This window comes from Homo sapiens, chromosome 12 (genome assembly GCF_000001405.40).
Source record: "Homo sapiens chromosome 12, GRCh38.p14 Primary Assembly".
Taxonomy (NCBI): domain Eukaryota; kingdom Metazoa; phylum Chordata; class Mammalia; order Primates; family Hominidae; genus Homo; species Homo sapiens.
Genome location: NC_000012.12, coordinates 27,347,692 through 27,371,732, shown reverse-complemented (window position 1 = coordinate 27,371,732; position 24,041 = coordinate 27,347,692). Strand labels below are relative to the sequence as shown.

At 37.9% G+C, this 24,041-nt stretch overlaps 1 protein-coding gene across 20 annotated transcripts in view, besides 1 other annotated feature; it reads right to left on the bottom strand.

The window, feature by feature from the left end:
* Nucleotides 1-24,041, bottom strand: part of BMAL2 (basic helix-loop-helix ARNT like 2) — a 92,451-nt gene that overhangs the window by 53,554 nt on the left and 14,856 nt on the right. For 9 of the 20 annotated variants that reach the window (XM_011520769.3, XM_047429173.1, NM_001248003.3 and 6 more), the window contains exon 2: nucleotides 3,321-3,471. In XM_011520769.3, coding sequence (XP_011519071.1) covers nucleotides 3,321-3,471 — 151 coding nt within the window. Of the gene's footprint in view, nucleotides 1-285; nucleotides 362-1,502; nucleotides 1,605-3,320; nucleotides 3,472-24,041 lie in introns of those variants that run through there. The other 11 variants (NM_001394524.1, XM_011520768.3, NM_001394525.1 and 8 more) reach the window with 2 other exon arrangements.
* Nucleotides 21,035-21,204: an enhancer, noted in NCBI's record as "experimental_27082 CRE fragment used in MPRA reporter constructs". NCBI's record gives its function as "activates a minimal promoter by MPRAs in K562 erythroleukemia cells, with activity observed for both the introgressed and non-introgressed 12:27503547 variant alleles {active_cell/tissue: K562}" and the evidence as "EXISTENCE:reporter gene assay evidence [ECO:0000049][PMID:34662402]".

Here is a 24,041-nt window from a genome sequence, read left to right as displayed (position 1 = left end):
TGTGTGTGTGTGTGTGTATGTATTTACCATAATAAAAAAGTGAAAAAGTGCAGAGGCAATGAATTCTTTAAAAAATATAAATCTGATCAAGTTCTTCTCATGCTTAGAATTCTTCAGTTTTCCTACTGCATTCAAGATAGTTTTCAGATTCTTCAGTTCAGCAGATCTTTCATGACTTAGTTCGTGTTTATCCCTCAACTCTCATAGCTCACCCCCCTCTAAGTGCACCCTCTGCTCTATGGTGACAACCACTCATTTCCTGATCAGGAGTATGCAACTACATACCTGTATGCCTGCACGGTTGTTCTTTCCACCTAAAATATCTTCTCCATTCCTGCTCTGTAGACTCTCTTCTTCTCTCCTGTTTTTAAATGTATTTTTATATTGATAGGGCCTCACTCTTGTCACCCAGGCTGGAATGCAGTGGCGTGACCATAGCTCACTGCAGCCTCGAACTTCTGGGCTCAAGAGATCTTCCCGCCTCTGCCTCCCAAAGTGCTGGGATTACAGGCATACGCCATCATACCTGGCTGTAGACTCATTTCTATTCTTCATTTAAAACTTAGCTTAAGTCAACTTTTCCAGGAAGCATTTAAATCTTATTTAAATGCCCAACTTTATTTGCTGACATAGTACCCAGGGTCTCTATTATAGCAGTTATGATGATGTAAAATAATTGTTTGTATCTTTTCCACTTGCACAAGTTTCTCGTACCTTTGTGTCTCTGTCTCTCCTAGTCTACTAACTGTCACATAGTAGCAACCCAATAAATGTTTAATGACTACATTCCACAGATTCATCAAAGACCCTTCTAAAGAACCAGCTCTCCAGCCGGGTGCGGTGGCTTATGCCTATAATCCCAGCACTTTGGGAGGCCAAGGTGGGTGGATCACGAGGTCAAGAGATTGAGACCATCCTGGCCAACATGGTGAAACCTCATCTCTACTAAAAATACAAAAATTAGCCGGGTGTGTCGGCGGGTGCCTGTAGTCCCAGCTACTCGGGAGGCTGAGGCAGAAGAATCACTTGAACCCAGGAGGCGGAGGTTGCAGTGAGCCGAGATTGCGCCATTTGCACTCCAGCCTGGCGACAGAGTGAGACTCTGTCTCAAAAAACAGAAAACAAAAAACAAAAAAGAACCAGCTCTCCATTCAAAACCAACAGTGCCACAGAAAGGGTGGACATTCTCATATATTTTTCCTTTTTAAAAAGATCCAGCACTCTGAGGCTATGTGAGTGAAATCAGCCTCTCACCTATTGACTGGCTTTCCTGCACTGAGTCCTGGGGAAAGACACTATATAGTCAGCACCACGTACTTTGACATCCATAATTTCATTAAAGGGAATAGAATCTGGTAGGATAAAGGAAGGATTGGGGCAGGAAGGAGAAGCTCTGGGATAGATGATGAGCAAATCAGTGGGACGTGTATCATGTTTTCACTGCCACTCTATGCCCTCTTCAAGTAGGGGAGAGAGTATGTCAAAGACAGTCCAGGACTTACCTGCTGCCACTGGAGGCTGATATTTCTATCCTTGTTGAAAGAAGATAGGTAAGGGGATTCTGAGAAAGCTTTTCCACCACTTTTTCTGTCATGATTCCTGACCTGGAAGGAAGGAGGCCTTGGGTCACCCCCTACCCAGATGTTCTGGGAATGGACAGCAAGCCTGTCCTCAAGTGGAGAAAGTAGCCTACTGTGTCCAGCTACCCAGTGATAGGAAGCTGGGTGAAGTGGAGAAAATACCACATCTGGAATCAGGCATTCTAACAAGCTGTGTGATGCTGGGCAAACTGCTTGACATTTCTGAGTTCTAGCTTCTTCCTTTTCTAAAATGTGAGTAGTTACCTAAATAATCTTCAGTGTTGCTTGCTGACAAAAAAATGCCATACTGTCAGTACTTCGCATGTTTCTTATATTTTTGCTAGCACTGACTCCACTTTCCATTTCACCCCCAAACCACTGCAAGGTCTCATCTGTGCCCTCCATGTGGCATGAAGCTGGGCTACCTCTATATTCACTGTTTCTACTTCAATTGCTAAAATCATATTTAGACACCAAGAAAGAACAATGGTGCCTATGATTCTGAAGAATAAGGAAGAAAATAAAAAGAACTAACAGTCACTTTCAGTTCAAGATAAGTGGGAGCTACTGACTGATAATTTAGAATGGAAAACAGCTACATAGTCTAAAAAGACTGTCACTTCATCAACTATAGTTTTCAGAAGCATCCATGTTAATGGAAGAGACTAAGGGAATAGAGACAACCAAAAACAGTAGAAAACCTTCCAATCATTTATATGTGGCGTGGGAAGTGCTTTAGTATTTACTGCCTTGGGAACTGAAGCTAAATTATAAAGTGTATTGGGAAGAACTGAGTTAAAAAGAGCTAGCATGTGCCCACTTTGTAAATAAAGAGCTGAATACCACCCCCCCCACCAAAAAAGAAAAAAAAAGAGCTAGGATGTTTTATTATGTCCTTATCTTGACCTCCAACTCCCAACTCAGGATTTTTCCTTTCATTCATGATGGATAACTGTCATCAACTCTCACATTTATGTAAAGTACCAGCCTACGATGAGTTGCTATAGATGGCTATCTTTACTTTTACTTAATGTTTTCTAAATTTTATACCTATTTATTTAGAGATGGGGTCTTGCGGGTCTCAAACATCTGGGCTCAAACGAACCTACCTCAGCCGCCTGCGTAGCTAGTACTGCAGGCGTGTGCCACTGCACCTGGCTTGCCCTGATGTTTTCACCATATAAACTCTAGCTTTGGGGAAGTCATTAAAGAATATTTAGGACTGAAGCTGCAGGGGTAACAAAAATAAATAGGGAGATAGTGGGCATTCTCAACATTGACTTTATTATCAATTTGACTTAATAAATAGGGAAAGCACGAATTTTATATGATTAAACTGACCACAGATAACCAAGGGTTGGTTATTCTATACATGACGAGTAAGGTGAGAAGTAGTCATTATTATTTTAAATCAAACATCCAAGGTGTTTTCCTCATGTTTATAAGTATTTCAATAAGGAAGGCAAGTATCTTGCCATGACCATAAACATTAACCAAATAAAACTCATGTTCCTATGTCTCTTTCTGACTCCAGCTGACCCTCCTAGACACCTTTCTTCAGAGCTGGATGGAAAAGTTCCAAGTCAGTCACCGACAAAGGTAGCAGATGGGTGGATAAGTACTCTCCCATCTCCAAATGTTACCATGAACTTGGAAATAATTAATGATTTTAAAAGGAATATTTTCCTCTTCTCCCTAAAGTCAAAGATCTCACTGGGTTAGAGGACCAAATTCACTTACTGGGATGGGTCTGAATCACTTCCTTTGCGTTTTCGTGGAAACTCTGTCATGTGTGAGCTGAAAGACCCCATAGCTGTTGGTCTTGTCCCTGGACTCACGCGGCTGGAAACCACAGGAGCAATGCACTGGTTCTCCTCTCTCAACACTTTACCTATGGGCAGCAGAGTACAACAAGACATTTATTTTAAACATTAACTTTTACTTTGTACATATCCATATCACACATTTTAAATGACTTTTCTATCTTGATATTTAAAAAATACCAGCTAAGGCCAGGCGCTGTGGCTCATGCCTGTAATCCCAGCACTTTGTAAGGCTGAGGCGGGTGGATCACCTGAGGTCAGGAGATCAAGACCAGTCTGGCCAACACAGCAAAACCCCATCTCTATTAAAGTACAGAAATTAGCCAGGCACAATGTGGGCATCTGTAATCCCAGCTACTTGGGTGGCTGAGGCAGGAGAATTCCTTGAACCTGGGAGGCAGAGGTTGCAGTGAGCTGAGATCATGCTACTGTACTCCAGCCTGGGCAACAGAGCGAGACTCCCTCTCAAAAAAAATGTGTATACATATATATATATATACACACACACACACACATTATATCTATATATACACATTATATATATACACACATTATATATATATAGACACATTTTAAATATATATACCAGCCAAAACCAACATAACACAGAATGAAAGACTAATTGTGTACACTCAAGTATTAATTAAATAAGCATTTGTTAGTCCATGTTTTTAAGGCTTTCCCCCTATATTGTAAAAGAAATTTGAATATGGTAGAAAACACAGAAAACACAGAAAAATAGAAAGGAAGGGGGAAATCCAAATTTTTTCCCAATGTTACACAAACCAATGTTACAATCCTTTTGAGATATTTCTTCTGAGAATTTTTTTCTATAGTTATCATTAAGGTAATTGAAATCATACAGTATACAGTAGTCCCCTCTTATCTGCAGTTTTGCCTTCTGTGGTTTCAGTTACCCGTGGTCAACTTTGGTCTGAAAATATTAAATGGAAAATTCCAGAAATAAATCATTCATAAGTTATCAACTGCACACGGTTCTGAGTAGCAGGATGAAATCTCACACCACAGTCATCCCTCTGTCCAGCATATCCACGCTGCATATGTCACCTGCCCGCGAGTCACTTAGTAGCTGGTTCGGTTATTAGATCCACTGTTGCAGTACCACAGTGCTGGTGTTCAAAGAACCCTTATTTTGCTTAATAGTGGCCTCAAAGCACAAGAGTAATGATGCTGGCATATTGTTATAATTGTTCTACCTTATTATTAATTATTGTAGTTAATCTCTTACTATGCTGAATTTATAAATTAAACTTTTATCATAGGTATGTATGTATAGGAAAAATTCATAAATGTAGAGCTTGGTATTATCCGCAGTTTCAGGCATCCACTGGGGAGTCTCAGAATGTATCCGCCATGGGTAAGAGGGGCCGACTGTCATCAGATTTATGTGTCATTGTGACATAATAACTTTCCAGTTTTATTACAAATTCTTTATAAATGACTCTAATGGATGTATAATACACTGTCATGTAGCTGTGTCCAGTTATTTAACCACTCTCCTATTGTTAGAACCTACATTTAATTTTATTTTATTTGCCAGTACAAATACATACTTTGGTACATAAAGCTTTTTATCTACTTCTGGTTATTTTGGACACTATCCCAGAAATGGGTTAACAAGGTCAAGAGATATCAATATTTTTAACTCTGAATTGCTAAGTGTGATTTTAAAAAATCCTTTTTGTCTCAAGTGAGGTTTATTAAATGTTTTACAAAATATAAAAATCAGAATAACTGAACCAAAATAACCTATAGTCTAAATTTGAGAATCTGTAACTATATTTCTCATATTAAAATGCATATAAAAAGTTTAAAGCAATTTGTACCTAATAACACAGATTGAAAATATATAACAATATTTACAAGGAGAATGTAATAAGTCTACAATAATAGTGGAAGATTTTTAACACATCTTTAACAGTAACTGATAGATCAAGTAGTAAAAATAATGATATGGAAGATTTAACTGGCACAATCAGCAAGCTTCATATAATAGACATATATGGAGCACTATGCCTAGTAGCTTGAAACACCAGTGTTAATTGTTTTTGGCCAACTATGGAGCATTTATAAAGACTGACAATATATTGGACCAAAAACCAGTCTCAAAGATTTTGACAAATTGATATCATACATAAAACATTTTCTGACTTCAGTGTAATTGTGTTGGAAGCCAGGAACAAAAAGATAACCAGAAAATCCCTATATCTTTGTAAATTAAGAAACCCACAAATAATTCATGGGGCAAGAGGAAATTCAAATGTAAAATGACAAAATATTTGTAATTAAGTATTAATAAAAATGTCACACAATGCATAAGCATTACTTAGCATGAAATTTTAACAATGTTTAAAAAAAGAAAAATTGAAATATAATAAGTAAATAATTTAAGAAATCAGAAAAAGATCAGTAAAATAAATCCAAAGAACTAGAAGAAAGAAAATCATAAGACCAGAAATAATGAAATAGAATATAAACATATAAGAGTGTAGATTTAAAAAGCTAAACAAAGTTTCTTCCAGATGATTGTAAACTCTAACAACTTTATGGCAAGATTTTTCAAAGAAAAAAATGTACAAAAAAAAAATTTGGGGTCATAATTGAGATGCCCTAGAAATTTAAAAGATAATAAAATACCATTAAAAATCATGCTAAATATTTAAAAATTTAGATGGAATGAAACATTTTCTATAGAATTTTAACTTACCGAAATTGAAACAAAAATAAATAAAAACCTGAATATTCCTATATTCTTCCTTACACAAACTATTCCACTATATGAAAAAAAGAGGGACTACCCTGACCCCCAACTTTTCTTTGTCAAGGAGGCTTACATAATTTTGATATTAAAACCTGACAAGGACAGTACAAAAGGAAAATTACAGGCCAATCTCATTCACAAACAAAAATACAAAAATCTTAACAAAACATTATCAAACAAAATTCAGAAATGAATAAAAATAATCATCCATCATGACTAAGTTTCATCCTAGGGATGCAGGAGTGCCTTCATATTAGTAATTAATGAATATAATTTACCACAATAACAGATAAATGAAAAACTATACAATCATCTCAGGAAATGTAGAAATATTAGTGAAGAAATATTGAAAGTGTTCTTTTTAAGATCAGAAACAAGAACACCCTTAATTCTATATTAGAAGAGCTCACAGTAGGGTAAGGCAAGAAAAAGGAAAATGAAATATAAAATTAAGAAATAAAATTGTTTTGCTCTTATTGGGAAATGATATGATTGACTACATAGAAAATCCAAAATAATCAACATATAAATCATTAAAGTTAGAGGATATAGCAAGTTGGCTGTATATAAATCAATATGTAAAAATCAATTGCCTTTCTATCCAAAGTAACAAATAGTAAGACAATGATATTTAAAAGATAGAATTTATAATAATCTCAAAAATACAGAGTATCTAAAGAATAAATCTAATAAATGTATAAGGTCTTTAGGGAAAAACTAAAACTTTATTTAAAACATTTTAAAAGATCCAAACAAATGGAAAGATATGCCAGGCTTTTGAATTGGAGGCTTCAATATACTAAAGATGTAAATTATCCTAAAATAGATGTGTAATTCCTCTCAAAATACATAATTTTTTGGTGGAAGCTTTCAAGTGGAATATACAACTATGTGAACAGTATACAGAAGAACAATGGGTCATGAATAACCAAGCAAAAGGTGGGAAGACTGGTCCTATCAGATATCAAGACTTGTAAAGACACAGTAATTAAGACAGTGTAGTACTGGTATGAGGATAGACAGATGAATGGAAGAGAACAAAGAGCCCAGACATGTATATATGGACATCTGCTAAATATCAAAGGTGGTAAAAGATCAATGTGGGGAAAAAAAATAACTTTTTAATAAATGGTCCGGGATCAATTGGTTTTCTCTATGGAAAAGATGAAACGGGACTCCCTGTGTTACACCAAATACAAAAACAAATCCAGTTGGATTTGAGACCTAAATTTAAAAAATAAAAACAGAATACAGAAAACTTTTGCTATGGTTTGAATGTTTGTGTTCCTCCGAAATTCATGTGGAAACTTAATTCCCAGTTCAACAATATTAAAAGGTGGGGCCACTAGGAGGTGATTAGGTCATGCATGCTCCACCCTCATAGACAGGATTAGTGCCACCGTAAAAGGGCTGAGAGGACAAGTTTGTCCCGTCCATTCCTTTGCCTCTTCTGCCAAGTGAGGATGCAGCAAGAAGATACCATCGTAGAAGCAGATGGAGCAGCCCTCACCAGACAATGAAGTTGCCCGTGCCTTGATCTTGGACTTCCCAGCCTCTAGAATTGTCAGAAATAACTACCTGTTGTTTTAAATTACCCAGCCTAAGGTGTTTTGTTATAGCAGCATCAATGGACTAAGAAAACTCTAAAGGAGGGAGAGTATTTTTATTTCATAGAAAGAAATTCCCAAGACATAAAATGTAAAAACAATAAAGGAAAAGATTGTTAAATGTGACAATCTTTAAGTTAATGTTGATTGAAAGACACTACAAAGAAAATGAAACCACAAGCCACAAACTGGGAAAAGATATTTGTTAGACATATAAACAACAAAGGGTTAATATTCAGATTATATAAAGAATGGCTTTGAATCAATAAGAAAAAGACCAATGACTCTCAATAGAAAACTGGATAAAATAACTTGAATAGGCACTTCATAAAAGAAATTCCAGTTGTCAACACATGGATGAAAAGATACTCAATCTCATTGGTAACCAGGAAAATCCTAAGGAAACTGTAGTGATATACTAATATATGATGGCTACAATTGAAAAATTTGATGATATCAAGTGTTGGTGAGGATGAGGAGCAATGGAAACGCTCATGCTCTGCTGGCAAGCATGTAAGTTGCTACAGCCACTTTGGAAACCATTTTTGCATTACCTAATAAAGGTGAACACATATATAATATATGACTTGGCATTCCCCTCCTAGGTATATGGAAAACTCTTACTGTGTATTAGCTGACAGGTATAAGAAATGCATTAGCAACATTGCTTGTAATTGAACAACAACAATGAAAACCTGAGAAAACTGGAAACTTGAAATTTTCATCAGCAAAATGGGTACATTGCTTAGTTACTGAATGGAATACTAACAGCAGCAAAAATGAATGAAGTCCAGCTATACTCAACATGGATGAATCAAAAAACATAATGCTGGCCAGGTGCAGTGGCTCATGCCTGTAATCCCAGCATGAAGACTTGGAAGGCCAAGGTAAGAGGATCACGTAAGGCCAGAAGTTTGAGACCAGCCTGGGCAACACAGCAAGATGCTGTCTCTACAAAAAAATTTTAAAACTAGCCAAGCATGGTGGTGTGCACATATAGTCTTAGCTACTCAAGAGGCTGAGGTGGGAGGATTGCCTGAGTCCAGGAGTTGAGGGTTACAGTGAGTGTGCTGCACTCCAGCCTGGGTGACAGAGTGAGACCCTGTCTTCTAAAACAAACAACAACAACAACAACAAAAACCGATAATGCTGAAGGGAAAAAAGTCACAGTCAAAAACACATTGCATGTTTTTAAAAATTTATATAAAGTTCAAAAACAAGTAAACTAAAAAAAAAGTAAAACTAATCAATTTTTAGGAATATTTGGGTTTTTTAGAAATTTTTTTTGTATAGAGATATCTCCCTATACAGAAAGCAAGGGGGTAGTTAAGACAAAAGTCAGAACAGTGGTTCTCTTCGGGAAAAGAAAGGGGGGTGTGACCATGAGGGACACACAGGGACTTCTAAGGAATTCATGTTCTACCTCTTTCACAGATCAATGTCTTATCTTTCTTCTTTAAACAGTACACATTATTTTTACCATCTTCACAGGTATAATAGATCTCACAATAAAGAAGTGGGGAGAATAATTTTACCAGTGATCGTGAGGCACTTTGGAATTAAGTTTCCAGTCTACAACATCCCAAGACTTCTAGGCCTGGATTCTCTAAATGGGACCAGTTCAGGATCACCACCTACCACATGAGATCAAATATGGCTTCAGCTCCTAGACTTCATTCTAATGGATTTTGAATGACAGATTACCATCTGTCTCCACAGAAAAAGTGCAGGGAATTTATTTCATCAAATGACAAATCAAAAGGAAAAATTCACTCCCGTTAAACCACAGCATACCCTGGAATATATAATACCAGACCCTCAACCATTCCCCCTACTTCCAACACACACTCTGCAAGTACATTCTTTCCCTCACATAAGTTCAGAGACAGAAATAAAACGAAGATTTTTTTTTTTTTGCCTCCCATTCTGGGAAGCATGATCTTCACATGTTTCTATCCTACTTCCTTATTAACCTTTAAATAAGGAATGTGAATTATCTTTAGGCAGGCAGAATAATCTTCTCTTCACAAAATAAAAATCTGAAGCTTTAAGGGTCTTTATTAATGGGTGGGGAGTATTGCCTTATAATTAGCTATGTTCCATTGACTCTATGTCAGTAGAAGTATATTCAAAACAGAGGGCTTTCTGTAAGCAAAAGGAAAATATGGGTTAGTGAGACTAGTTAGTTTTAGCTGAAAGGATCTGTTCTTTGGAAATAATCTCCATGTTGCAGATTCTTATTTTTGTTAGTAGGTGACTCATAATTTAAGGAGTAAAAATTTCATTTTTAACTTTCCAGTTTACTTGACTTTCTGCCTCCACATATACATCTGCAGAAGATGAGACCATGTGTTAGGAATTGAAGTTCAGCTCTGCTTTTATATAACTCATTTTGGAAGTATATGACTTAATGTTTTGATATTGTCTTTCCTTGCCAAATTGAGTGACTTCTCAGTGGTGAATGTAATATGTGTTCTTTAACACTCAATAAAATAATACAGAATTTAGGTTAAACGAAGATATCGTGATTGCCTTTTTACAAAGAAAGTTTGTGATTTTACTTAAAATGAGATTAGCATTAAATCTCACTCCACTCTGTCTGTCTCCCTGGTGATGATAATCAATCTTGCAATATTTCAAAGGTCTACTATTTAGTATCAATTCCTCAAGGAGGAAAATAAATTACGGGAAATGAGCAGCCGTTTGGAAGTCATAACCAAGGGAAGCCAAGTAGCCACTTGGTTTAGGCTCATAGTTACAAATGGGTTCAAATTTGGAATTTGGCATTGTGGTTGAAAGAGAATACACATTGGGTATACACACATGCACACACAGATTCACAGAAGCCACGGCAAAATGGCTTCTTTCATTTTTCATAAAAGTTTAAAACTTTTGTTCCATTACCTACTTTCGTAGCCAATAGTGTGCTATATCTTAAAATTTGTGTAAATTTTCATTATCTTGTAAATAACTTTTGGTTAAAAATAATTTATTCTGTGTAAACGTTTAAATTACTTCCTTGAGAAATGAAAGTGGCCTTTAATTCTTAACTTCTGAGAGTCCAAACCCGGAAAAATCTTTGTGGTCCCATCTAACCACTACCTTGTTAGTACTGTTTTTTTTTTTTTTTTTTTTTTGGACAAATCACTTAACATAACCAACCCTATTTCTTTAAGATGGAAGAAATTTCCCGCAAACCACATTTGCTTGTTTCAGAATCAAATAAGAAAATGTACACAAATCTGTTTGAAAACCAGAAGGTTACTGATGCTAATTAAGTAACTAGCCCAGCAAAAATGCATCAACATTGTTGGTGAGCCATTGTAGATGCCTAAGGTGTCAGGAAAACAACATTGAGTTAATGTTGTTGCTTTATTTTTAATTATAAAGCTGTTAACCTTTTTATCTTGAAATAATTTCAGGCTGGCAAAGATAGTGTAAAGAATTCCCATATACCCTTCAATAATATTCCCCAAATGATAATGTCATTCTTAACCCCAGCATAATTATCAAGATCAGGAAATTAACAGTGATACACAATTATTATCTAATTGACAGATCTTATACAAATTTTGTCAATTGTCCTAATGTCCTTTGCTGGTCCAGGATCACAATGCATTTAGCACCTGCCACCTGTCCTTTGTTTCCTTTCATCTGTAATGGTTCCTCAGGCTTCTTTTGTCTTTCTTGAGACTTTTGAAGGGTACTGGGAAGTTATTTTCTAGAATGTCCTCCAGCTTAAGTTTGTCTGATATTCCCTCATGACTAAATTTAGATTGTGCATATTTGTCAAGAATACCACAAAAATGATGCTGTGCCCTTCTCAGTGCTAAATTCCTTCTCTTTTACATTTTACTGCTGCTAGTACTTTTTTTTTTTTTTTTTTTTTAAATAGGGTCTCACTCTGTCACCCAGGCTGGAGTGCAGCGGCACAATCTCAGCTCACTGCAAACTCCACCTCCTGGGCTCAAGCCATCCTCCCACCTCAGCCTCCTAAGTAGCTGGGACTACAGGCACACCCACCACACCCAGCTAATTTGCTTGAATTTATTGCTTCATTAAGATCCTGCTCCTCCAGATTCCAAATGGTGTTCAGTTCATGGAATAAACAGAAGTGGCAGAGGAAAGGTTTATGAGATCCTCCATAAGGCTATATGTTCCAATACTGCAAAGCCTTTGAGGACCACAGCAGACTTCTTTATCTTTATCCCTAAATCCTGGCACAGTGCCTGACACAGAGTAAGTTTTTGTTTGTTTTTGAGACAAGGTCTTGCTTTGTTGCCCATACTGGAGTGCAGCGGTGCAATCATGGCTCACTGCAACCTCTGCCTCCTGGGCTCAAGCGATATTCCTATCTCAGTCTCCCAAGTAGCTGGGACTACAGGCACGTACCACCATACCCATTTGATTTTTTAAAAAAAATTTCTGTAAGGATTTCGCTGTGTTGACCAGGCTGGTCTCAAACTCCTGGGCTCAAGCGATCCTCAGCCTCCCAAAGTGCTGGGAATATAGGCATGAGCCACCATGCCCAGCCCCACAGTAAGTACCGAGGGTTTATTCAAAGAATAAATTACATTCACTTTATTACCCCAGACATCCAAAAGAGAATCTGAAAGATGTGAAATCAGAACTTCCAGTTTCACCTTCCTGAGCTGAGGCCACACTGTGTTTCATTGTTCTTGCAACAAGGAACATGGAAGTTCCTGCTATCCCTACTTCACAAACAAGGAGGCGTACTTTCTACCATTATTTCAATTATTTCATTTATATCATTTTTCTTTCACAGAAGAAAAAAGACACTTGATTGTCTGCTTTGGAAAAAAGGCACTGTGTGGTACAGGATTTGGCATCTTGGAAAGCCTTCTAGAATGACAAGCAGTTATTGTTTTATAGGTTTGTGGTAATGCGTTACAACGGAAACCAAATACTGTTGCTTACCATTGACACATTACTTTAAGATCCTTAGTCACATGATGGATAGAAATTAAGTATTAATTGGCACTATTCAAGAACAATGCCATGTATAGATAGTATTACACATAAATTACATTAAAAAATTTGCGCAACAGAGATAAAAAATATTTTATTATTTCACAGTATTTAAGAGCCTAATCCAGGTGGTAGATATCTTAAAAAGTTAAGATTTAGTACCTACCCTCGAGAAGTTTATAATCCTGTATATTTTTTGTGCATGTATAAGTGCATAGATATATTAACCAAATACAGAATGAAATTAGACCTAGATAGAGGTACAAGTTTGTGCTGCAAGAACACAGAGATAAGGGCACTTAATTCTGTTTGGGGGAAGGGAGTAACATCTGAACACATTTTTCTGGATGGGTGTTTTAGGCTTCGAGAACACTATGAATAGGAGGTAGCAAATGCATTCAGTAAAATCCTATGCCATCATTTAAAATGATTATGAATTTTATAAATACAGAAAATGCCCTTTAAGGAATCTCCAGTTTCCTATAGTGGTTGTACTAGTTTACATTCCCACCAGCAGTGTAAAAGTGTTCCCTGTTCACCACATCCCTGCCAACATCTATTATTTTTTGATTTTTTGATTATGACCATTCTTGCAAGAGTAAGGTGGTATCACACTGTGGTTTTGATTTGCATTTCCATGATCATTAGTGATGTTGAGCATTTCTTCATATGTTTGTTGGCCATTTGTATATCTTCTTTTGAGAACTGTCTATTAATGTCCTTAGCCCACTTTTTGATGGGATTATTATTACTAATTTGTTGGAGTTCCTTGTAGATTCTGGATATTAGTCCTTTGTCAGATGTATAGATAGCGAAGATTTTCTCCCACTCTCTGGGTTGTCTATCAACTCTGCTGATTACTTCTTTTGCTGTGCAGAAGCTTTTTAGTTTAATTAAGTCTCATCTATTTATAAAATAAATAAATATAAAAAATAAATTTATTTATTTATCTTTGCTTTTGTTGCATTTGCTTCTGGGTTCTTGGTCTTGAACTCTTTGCCTAAGCCAATGTCTAGAAGGGTTTTTCTGATGTTATCTTCTAGAATTTTTACGGTTTTAGGTCTTAGATTTAAGTCCTTGATCCATCTTGAGATGATTTTGTATAATGTGAGAGATGAAAATCCAGTTTCATTCTTCTCCATGTGGCTTGCCAATTATATCAGCACCATTTGTTTAAAAGGGTGTCCTTTCCCCACTTTATGTTTTTGTTTATCGAAGATCAGTTGGCTGTAAATATTTGGCTTTATTTCTGGGTTCTCTATTCTGTTCCTTCGGTTTGTGTGCCTATTTTCATACCAGTACCATGCTGCTTTGGTGACTATGCCCTAATAGTATAGTGTGAAGTCAGGTAATGTGATGCCTGCAGATTTGTTCTTTTGGCTTAGTCTTGCGCTTTGGCTATGTGGATTCTTTTTTGGCTCCATATGAATTTCAGGATTGTTTTTTCTAGTTCTGTGAAGAATGATGGTAGTATTCTGATGGGAATTTCATTGATTTGTAGATTGCTTTTGGCAATATGGTCATTTTCACAATATTGATTCTACCCATCCATGAGCATGGGATGTGTTTCCATTTGTCAGTGTCATTTATGATTTCTTTCAGTAGTGCTTTGTAGTTTTCCTTGTAGAGGTCTTTTATCTCCTTGGTTAGGTATATTCCTAAGTATTTTATTTTCCCACTACTAGGTATCTACCAAGAGGAAAAGAAGTCATTATATAAAAAAGATATTTGCACATGCATGTTTACAGCAGCACAATTCACAATTGCAAAAATATGGAATCAGCACAAATGCCCATCAATCAAGAAGTGGATAAAGAAATTGTGATATATATAAAATACATATACTACTCAGCCATAAAAAGGAATGAAATAATGTCATTTGCAGCGACCTGGATGGAATTGGAGCCAATTATTCTAAGTGAAGTAACTCGGGAATGGAAAACCAAACATCACATGTTCTCACTCATAAGTGAGAACTAAGCTATGAGGACACAAAGGCATAAGAATAATACAACGGACTTTGGGGACTCGAGGGGAAAGGGTGGGGGGGTGAGGGATAAAAGGCTACACATTGGGTACAGTGTATACTGCTCGGGTGATGGGTGCACCAAGATTCCAGAAATCACCACTAAAGAACTTATTCATGTAACCAAACACCACCTGTTCCCCCAAAACCTATGGAAATAAAAAATAAATGCTTACGTAATGTTTAGTTTTTAAAAAGGAGGATGAAAGACTATGGAAAAACAAGAAACAAAAATAATGCCATTTGCAAGGGAGATAAAAAACACACATAATAAAATGTTACTAGGAGTTTTATCTCAGTAGCCAATCAAAGGATTTTTCTCATTTCTACTTCCCTATATTGTTCCAAACTTTTCTAAGTATCACGTCTTACTTTTGTAAGACATACACGCAACTTAGAGAAAAGAAGGCGTATGGACTATTGGGGGATAGCAAGATCAGTATGGCTGGCCACAGCGTAAAACTGATGTGAGATCAAGCTTGAAACGTAGATTGTACTAGTTCATGGAGGGCCCTGGATGTAACACCAAGGGGTCTGAGCTTTATCTCCAGGTAGTGGGAAGCTAATGTAGTTACCTAGGACTGCCTCAGCCCTATTCACTACTGAGGCCAATCCTCACCAAGGCAGGGGGAACATTTACAATGTTCTCCCTCCTAGCAAATCAGTTCTGAAATTAGTCTTCCTAGCAAAAGCTACAACTTTCATCATAATGCATTCCACCTTCGCCTAAACAGATAAGAGGCCAGTCATTCTGTTTATTTCTGTAATAAAGACTGTAATCCAAGCTGTATAATTTAAACCCTCTCCATCTTGGTTGGGGAAATATGGCTCAGCTGCTAAGCCTGGACAGGGAAGGCCAAAAATCATTTTAGGCAGGGGTCAGGAGCCCAAAATATCACATCTCAGATACAATATTAAAACATCACAGAAGGATCTGATTCTTCTGGCCTTGGCCTCAAAAGTAGCAAGATGTCTAAAAGGGAAGTCCTGAGGATGGTTAAGATTAATTCATCTTAGGGGAGCGAAGGCTCACATATGAGGTGAGAAAGGAACCCAGGTGGAAGTTCCTGGGACAAAGCATAACTGTCTCAGGCTCCATAAACTAAAATGCATTAGGCTCATTTTCTGTCAATTTTTATTTTAAGACTGTTAGTTTCTGTGAATTCCAAATAATAAAGGAGAAACCACACACTGCTAGATTCCAAGGACATAGAGCTCGGCTGGCATGTGATTTTGTCCATGATCACATAACAGCTGGAGAACTGAAGCAGAGAAAATAGATGTTTTGGGTTGCCCAAGGCCAGCAACTTCCCAGGGAAGTATGTAGAAGTTCGAAAGGATAAACAGGTAAGTGGTGTCTATCACATCATAGTTAAATGGTACATCACAGAGCACAGGCTGGGCAGGAAAGCAAGAGACACACAGAAGGAGCTGAAAAAGGAACTCTGGGAAGTGGATGGAATACTTGGAAATAACATTAGGATGACAAAGAAATTTGGTGTCAGTGGGAGAGCCATAAAAATATGAAACCATGATTTGCAGAGAGAAGTTCAGACTTGGGGATTCAGAGGTGAAGAATTTCCAGCTGATTAAGGGGTCTATGGAGCACTGTTTGCAGCGAATTGAGGACAGAGTGTGTTAAAAAAGAGAAGACCCATGTTGCCTAGTGTAACATCAGGGGATGGGGAGGAGAGGAAATGTCTCTAAGAATATGATGCAGCAGCACCCTGAAGGTCAGCAGAAGATTAAAACAGGTATGAGATGAGAGTGCAATAAACAGAAAACCAAAATCAAGGCAATAAATGACAGTGAGGAATAACGTCTGGAAATGGCAATGAGGCTCAAATAAAAAGTGAGGTCAACCTCACTTCCTAGTGCTGAAATACACAAGACAGTGATTGGCTTCCATAATGTCTCTTTAGTTAATTCCTTAAAATTTGGGCTGACCATATTACTACTAATCTAGTAATCACTGAATTATAAAAACATCTTATTTTTGGCCTATTTAATGAATTAAGACCGATCATTTGTTGAGCTGGCAAAGGTGCCTTACAGAAGGGGAAGGGGTGAGAAGACATCCTCATAATTTCATATATTTCTAGTAGGAAGGAAAACTGGTACAGGTTGAATATCCCTTAACTGAAATGTTTAGGAGAAGTGTGTCAGAATTTGGATTGTTTTGGATTTTGGAATATCCGCAGATACCTAGTAAGATACCAAGCGTAAATATGGAAGTCACTTATGTTTCATATACACTTTATACACAAAACATGAAGATAATTTTATACAATATTTTAAGTAATTTTTGCACAAAACAATGTGTTGACTGTGTTTTGGGTTTTTTTTAAATCTCATTTTAGGTTTAAGGGATATATGTGCAGGTTTGTTATATGTGTAAACTGCATGTTGCTGGGGTTTGGCAGACAAATGATTTCATTACCCAGGTAGGGAGCACAGTGCCCAATAGGTAATTTTTTAACCCTCACCCTTCTTCCCACCCTCTGCCTTCAAGTAGGCCCCGATGTCTATTGTTCCTCTTTTTGTGTCCATGTGTACTCAGTGTTTAGCTCCCACTAATAACTGAGAACATACACTATTTGGTTTTCTGTTCCTGTGTTAATTTGCCTAGGATAATAACCTCCAGCTCCATCCGTGTTGCTGCAAAGGACATGACTGCATTCTTTTTTATGGCTGTGTAGCACTCCCTGGTGTGTATGTACCACATTTTCTTTGTCCAGTCCGCCACTGATGAGCACCTAGGTTGATTCCCTGTATTTGCTATTTTGAATAGTGTTGCAGTGAACATATGAATGCATATGTCTTTTTGGTAGAACAATTTATATTCCTTTGGGTATACACCTAGTAATGGGATTGCTAGGTCAGATGGTAGTTCTGTTTTAAGTTCTTTGAGAAACCTCCAAACTGCTTTCCACAGTGGCTGAACTAATTTACGTTCCCATCAGTAGTGTGTCAGTGTTCCCTTTTCTCCACAACCTTGCCAACATCTGTTATTTTCTGACTTTTTAATAATAGCCATTCTGTCTTTCTTGAGATGGGATTTCATTGTGGTTTTGATTTGCATTTCTCTAATGATAACTGCTTTGAGCATTTTTTCATGTCTGTTGGCTGCATGTATGTCTTCTTTTGAGAAGTGTCTGTTTATGCCCTTTGCCCGTTTTTTTAATACAGTTGTTTGTTGCTGGTTGATTTGTTTAAGTTCTTTATAGATTCTGGATATTTGACCTTTTTTAGATGCATCATTTTCAAATATTTTCTCCCATTCTGTAGGCTGTTTATTCTTTTGATACTTCCTTTTGCTGTGTAGAAACTCTTTAGTTTAATTAGGTCCCACTTATCTATTTTTGTTTTTGTTGCAATTGCTTTTGGAGACTACATTATGAAATCTCTGCCAAGGCCTACATCAAGAATGGTATTTTCTAGGTTTTCTTCTAGGGTTTTTATAGTTTTAGGTCTTATATTTAAGTCTTTAATCCACCTTGAGTTGATTTTTGTATATGGTGAAAGAAGTGGTCCACTTTCAATCTTCTGCTTATGGCTAGCCAGTTATCCTAGCACAGTTTACTGAATATGGACTCATTTCCCCATTGTTTGTAACTGTCAGCTTTGTCGAAGATCAGATGGTTGTAGGTGTACAGCTTTACTTCTGGGTTCTCTAACCTGTTCCATTGGTCTACATGTCTGTTTTTGTACCAGTCTCATGCTGTTTTGGTTACTGCTGCCTTGTATAGTTTGAAGTCGGGTAGTGTGATTTTCTGGCTTTGTTCTTTTTGCTTAGGATTGCTCTGGCTATTCGGGTTCTTTTTTTGGTTCCATATGAATTTTGGAATCGTTTTTTTCTAATTCTGTGAAAAATAACATTGGTAGCTTGATAGAAATAGCACTGAATCTGTAAACCACTTTGGGCAGTATAGCCATTTTAACAATATTGATTCTTCCTATCCATGAGCATGGAATGTTTTTCCATTTGTTTGTGCCATCTCTGATTTCTTTGAGCAGTGTTTTGTCATTCTCTTTGTACAGATGTTTCACCTCCCTGGTTAGCTGTATTCCTAGGTATTATTTTAACGGCTATTGTGAATGAGACTGCACTCTTGATTTGGTGCTCAGCTTAGCAGTATGAAAATGCTACTGACTTTTGTACATTTATTTTGTATCCTGAAACTTTACTGAAGTTATTTATCAGCTTAGGAGCCTTTTAGCAGAGCCTTCAGGGTTTTCTAGATAGAGAATCACATTGTCAGTGAAGAGAGATAATTTGACTTATTTTCCTGTTGGGATGCCTTTTCTTTCTTTCTCTTGCCTGACTGCTCTGGCTAGGACTGCTCTGACTGCCCAGGACTATGTTGAGTAGGAGTGGTTTATGTTGAATAGGAGTGGTGAGAGTGGGCATCCTCGCCTTGTTCCAGTTCTCAGGGTGAAAGCTTCCAGCATTTGCCTGTTCAGTATGATGTTGGCTGAGGGTCTGCCATAGATGGCTCTTACTATTTTGAGGTATGTTCCTTCGATGCCTAGTTTGTTGAGGTTGACTGCATTCTAACTGTGACCCGTCACATGAGGACAGGTGTGGAATTTTCCACTTGTGGTGTCATGCCAGTACTCAAAAAGTTTAGGATTTTTTGGCACTTCAGATTTTGGATTTTCAGATTAGAGATGCTCATTGTATATAATGTTCCCAGAAGGCAATCTGAAAAATTATGTCAAGGGGCACAAACACATGCTGTTCTTTGATTTAGCAATTTGATTTCTTTGAACTTATCCTAAAATTATTAAAGATATACACAAAGACTGTTGTACAAAGAATTTAATAAAAATGCTTCAGCAGTGTAAACCTGAAAACAACCTAAAAGCTTTGACAAACAAGGGAACAGCTAAAAAATTAGGGTGCAGTGATATGATGGAGTCCTCTGCCATCTTTAAATACAATGTTTTCAAATTACTTATGAAATAGTAAATGGTCTAAAAATATTAAATTTTGTATGGTATATTGTTTGCTTTAGTTTTACAATATAATGTATTAATAGAAATTTGAGATAAAGTAGGGCCAACCAATCAGGAGACATTTATTGCCATTGAAAAGATAGATTGTTACTCGCCGTTCCCAAGCGGAGTGGGCATGCCACACCACTGAAGGCGCCACAGGGGAAGCGCTGGGTCAGTCAGAGGAAGAGAGAGAACTGAGGGCAAGAGTCTTGATTCTGGTTTCTGAAGGAACAGGTGAGGCAGGCTAAACAAGCTTGGAATTGGCTACTTTGAATAATTTCAGCAGACTCTGGGGAACAGGGGCTGTCCCTACGTAGGGATCTGGTATCTGGCCCTGGGGTGATTAGGTTAGGTGGATAGTAGCTGAGACTGTATGAGCTCAATAAAAGAGATGGTTGGGTAGTGGGCTCTGGACTGGTTTATATTTGAAAAGCGCATTCAAGGGCAAATTGTGTACTATCTCTAGGTATTGGCTAATCCTGGGAGGGACAGTCCATGCAAAGTCAGCAAGCCCCAGATATCAAAGCATCAGAATACAGAAAATAAAAGACATGATTAAGGCATTTATATTTTTCTTAATTTACCTTTTCTTTTTCTACAACTAACACATATTACTTTTTTAATTCAGAAAAATAAGGCCAGGTGCCAGGGGCTCAAGCCCGAAATCTGAGCACTTTGGGAGGCCAGGGCAGGAGGATTGCTTGAGTCCAAGAGTTTGAGACCATTCTGGGCAACACAGTGAGACTCCATCTCTACAAAATACAAAAAGTTAGCAGGGTGTGGTGGCACACACCTGTAGTCCCAGCTACTCGGGAGGCTGAGGCAGGAGGATCCCTTGAGCATAGGAGGACGAGGCTGAAGTGAACCATGTGCATGCCACTGCACTGCAGCCTGGATGACAGAGCAAGACCCTGTCTCAAAAAAAAAAAAGGGGGGGTGGGTGGGGTCTGGGCATGGTGGCTCATGCCTGTAATCCTAGCACTTTGGGAGGCTGAGGCAGGCGGATCACCTTAGGTCAGGAGTTCGAGACCAGCCTGGCCAACACAGTGAACTCCTGTCTCTACCAAAAATACAAAAATTAGCCAGGCGTGGTGGTGGGCGCCTGTAATCCCAGCGACACAGGAGGCTGAGGCAAGAGAATCGCTTGAACCTGGGAGGAGGAGGTTGCAGTGAGCTGAGACTGAGCCACTGCACTTCAGCCTGGGCAACAGAGCAAGACCCTGTCTCCAAAAAAAGAAAAAAGAAATACACTAAAAAGTTTTCTTGTGTTATTCACAACCTTGGGCATTTCTTTGAAAGGATAAATTTATATCACTATTCCAAGAGCCATGTACACAGCCCTTCTTGTTTTCTAAACCAAAGAACAACTATGGACAGCTGATGCTATGAACTTTGTGTTGCTAAAGATACAAGACCTTGTTGAGCCACTTCTGTGGAACATCTTCATGTTTTCCCAAACAGTCGGGACAGGGAGTTTCTAATCAAATGCAAGATCCCAGGCTGACCCTTGTCCTGTACTGTGGAAGAGAGATCTCCTGGCAAAAGTATTTAGGGGACTTAAGAAAAAGCCTTCCACAAGCATCACCTGCCTACAGACGATTCCCTTTGTGGGCGAGGGATAACTATACTGATTTTTGAAAGTGGCAGCCACATGGCTTTGATCACCTACATTCCATACCTGATAACTGATTGAAAGCATCAGTTAGTGCTGTGTTTAATGCTTTAGAAATAACTGTGGCATCAAAGAGTCTACAAAGGGTTGTTGTTGGAGGCAAGGAACAGCCTCATAGTCTGCTAAAGTCACCTGCTTTTTCACAGGGGTGACTAAATAGACTTTGACAACCTATACCAATTTCTGAGGACTTTTCTAAAGGAAGAACTTCCTAACTGTGTGAACTTCATCAAATATCCACTGGTCAGGAGGCCTAGCTCAAGCTCAGGTGCAAGCCCCTGCCACAATGAAAACACTGTCCCACACCCGACATGAGGAGCTCGCCACCTCTGCTGACCATGGACTGAATGGCAAGAAGGCAGCAGCAGGCACAGCAAGAGCATTTTTGTCCAGCTGTTCCCCTAACTTACTGTGTGTGACTTTAGGCAACATTTACCCTCTCTGTGGTCATTTCCTCATCTGTAATATAGAAGTTAGAATAAAGACCAGACTTACCTCATAGAGTGTTTATAAGAAAACACTGAGATAAATGTTGAAGGATTTTGGAATCTCTGAACTTATGTTGGGCAGATATTCAGTAGTACATTAATTACTTGCCTGAGTTGAGTATAGTGAGCTTATGGCCAGGCATAAGATCCAAACAGACACTAGTGTGCCTTTCCATCCTCATATAAATGGTCAGACTGAAGGGTGTAAATATTAAAACTGACTGAGGTCTGAGACAAATTAAGGGGCAGAACTGCTGTGGAGCAAGATTAAATCAGAACTATAATGCCAGGTAATTCAGATTTCCACACAGAACTCCTCATATAATTAGTGAAATATAAATTTTTCCTTCCTCTTCTGAAGCCAATATGAAACCATCAATAATGAGACAAGCACATGATTCAAAATTGTAATCATTGCTGTGAATTAAAAGTAGTATGCTTGAGAATATTCAATATGCAAACTATCAACGATTTAATTATTGTACAACAGGTTTGGTTATTTTGTTCTATTGCTTTAAACCCAACTGTGGGCCCCACTGAGTTTAAGATGACATGAAATATGAAATACGAGGCATCCCCATCAGCCTCATCCCATGCTACTCTCACTAGTAACCCAGGCAATGGCCTCAGTGCACTGCATGATGCTGCCCAATCATCTCAGGTTCCCCCATGACTCTGATTCTCCTCGCCTGGAATTCCCTGTTCTCAAAGCAGGTTTACTCAGTTTATACTCATCTGTCAAAACAAAGTCAGATGTTATCTCCTACAAGAAGCCCTCTCTACCCACTGTTCCCCAACGTCAAAATCTCCCACCCTACTGGGGCCCCTCAGACATTATATAGCAGCACTTTGTAATGGATGCCATCATTGAGCTCATCCTGCTTCACTTAATTCTCTTTTTACTAATTGGTTTCCCTCACCAGGCACAGCTCCTTGAGGGCAGGAACCATGTGTTCTTATTCCTAGCTTAACACAATCCCAGACACACTGCCCACACTCAATAATTGAGGAAATGATGGATTATGCAATAATTTGTATTAAGTCAATTCTATAACTATTCAGAAAAAGTTAAATCTCTATTTCTTCCTATTTACTGTCATGAATTTATGATGGATGAATGAGCTAAATGTAAAGAAATAAAACCATAAAAAGTATAAGGAAAATATATATATAGGTGAAAAGTCATATAATCTTAAAGTGAGGAGTGGTTTTTGAAGTCTAAAAGGTGGCTTTAGGTAAGTTAAGCCACATCTGCACTGCTTTGTTATGTTGTCAATTAAGATTAAAAAAAAATAAATGTTACCTTTTTTTCTGTTAAGTTTAATCTTCTTTGGTATCACCCTATCAATTTTGCTACTACCCTATCAATATATTTCTGGATTCAGATTATATCTATCTCCTCCCTAAGCCTCCCCAAAGTATGCCATGTGCAAAAGTGACCACAAGAACATCACTATCTTCAAACCAAGCTATCATGTTGAACAAAAAAGCCAAAGAGAGAACAGCAGGTAATTTATTCACTATAGCCATATTCAACATAGGCAAAGTGAGAGCCCAAGGCAGAGTTATAGGGGAAAGTAAAAGGTTGACACGAGGGAAGAGATATGAATGGTTAGAATGGACTCAGGCAATCACTTAGCAGGTGGGAAAACTGAACTAATCTGGATTGGGGTAAATAGTCTGGGAGTAAAACTGTAAACAATGCCAAGGTGTCAGAGAGCCCCAGGGATTATGCTGTGCTAGCCTCACCATTTAAAATGAGCCACAGGGGATCTGGTTACCTGATTATGACATGTCTGTCAGACCAGTAAGGATGGGCCAGGGAATCTCCCAGGATTGCTCAATGCAACAGTACATATATTTTAGAGCATGTTTAAGGTAAGATGTGGATTTGCTTGCATTGCTCATACTGGACTGTGTACTAAAGGTTGCCTTAAAATCGGCAGGTGTCCTAGATCTCCTGCACAGTACATACTAAGGTTGGTTCTTCCTAGCTGATCCTAAGGGCATGGCACTCAGGATAAAACACAAACCAACTGCATGGGTGTGAACATCAGAAGAATAATGTTTATG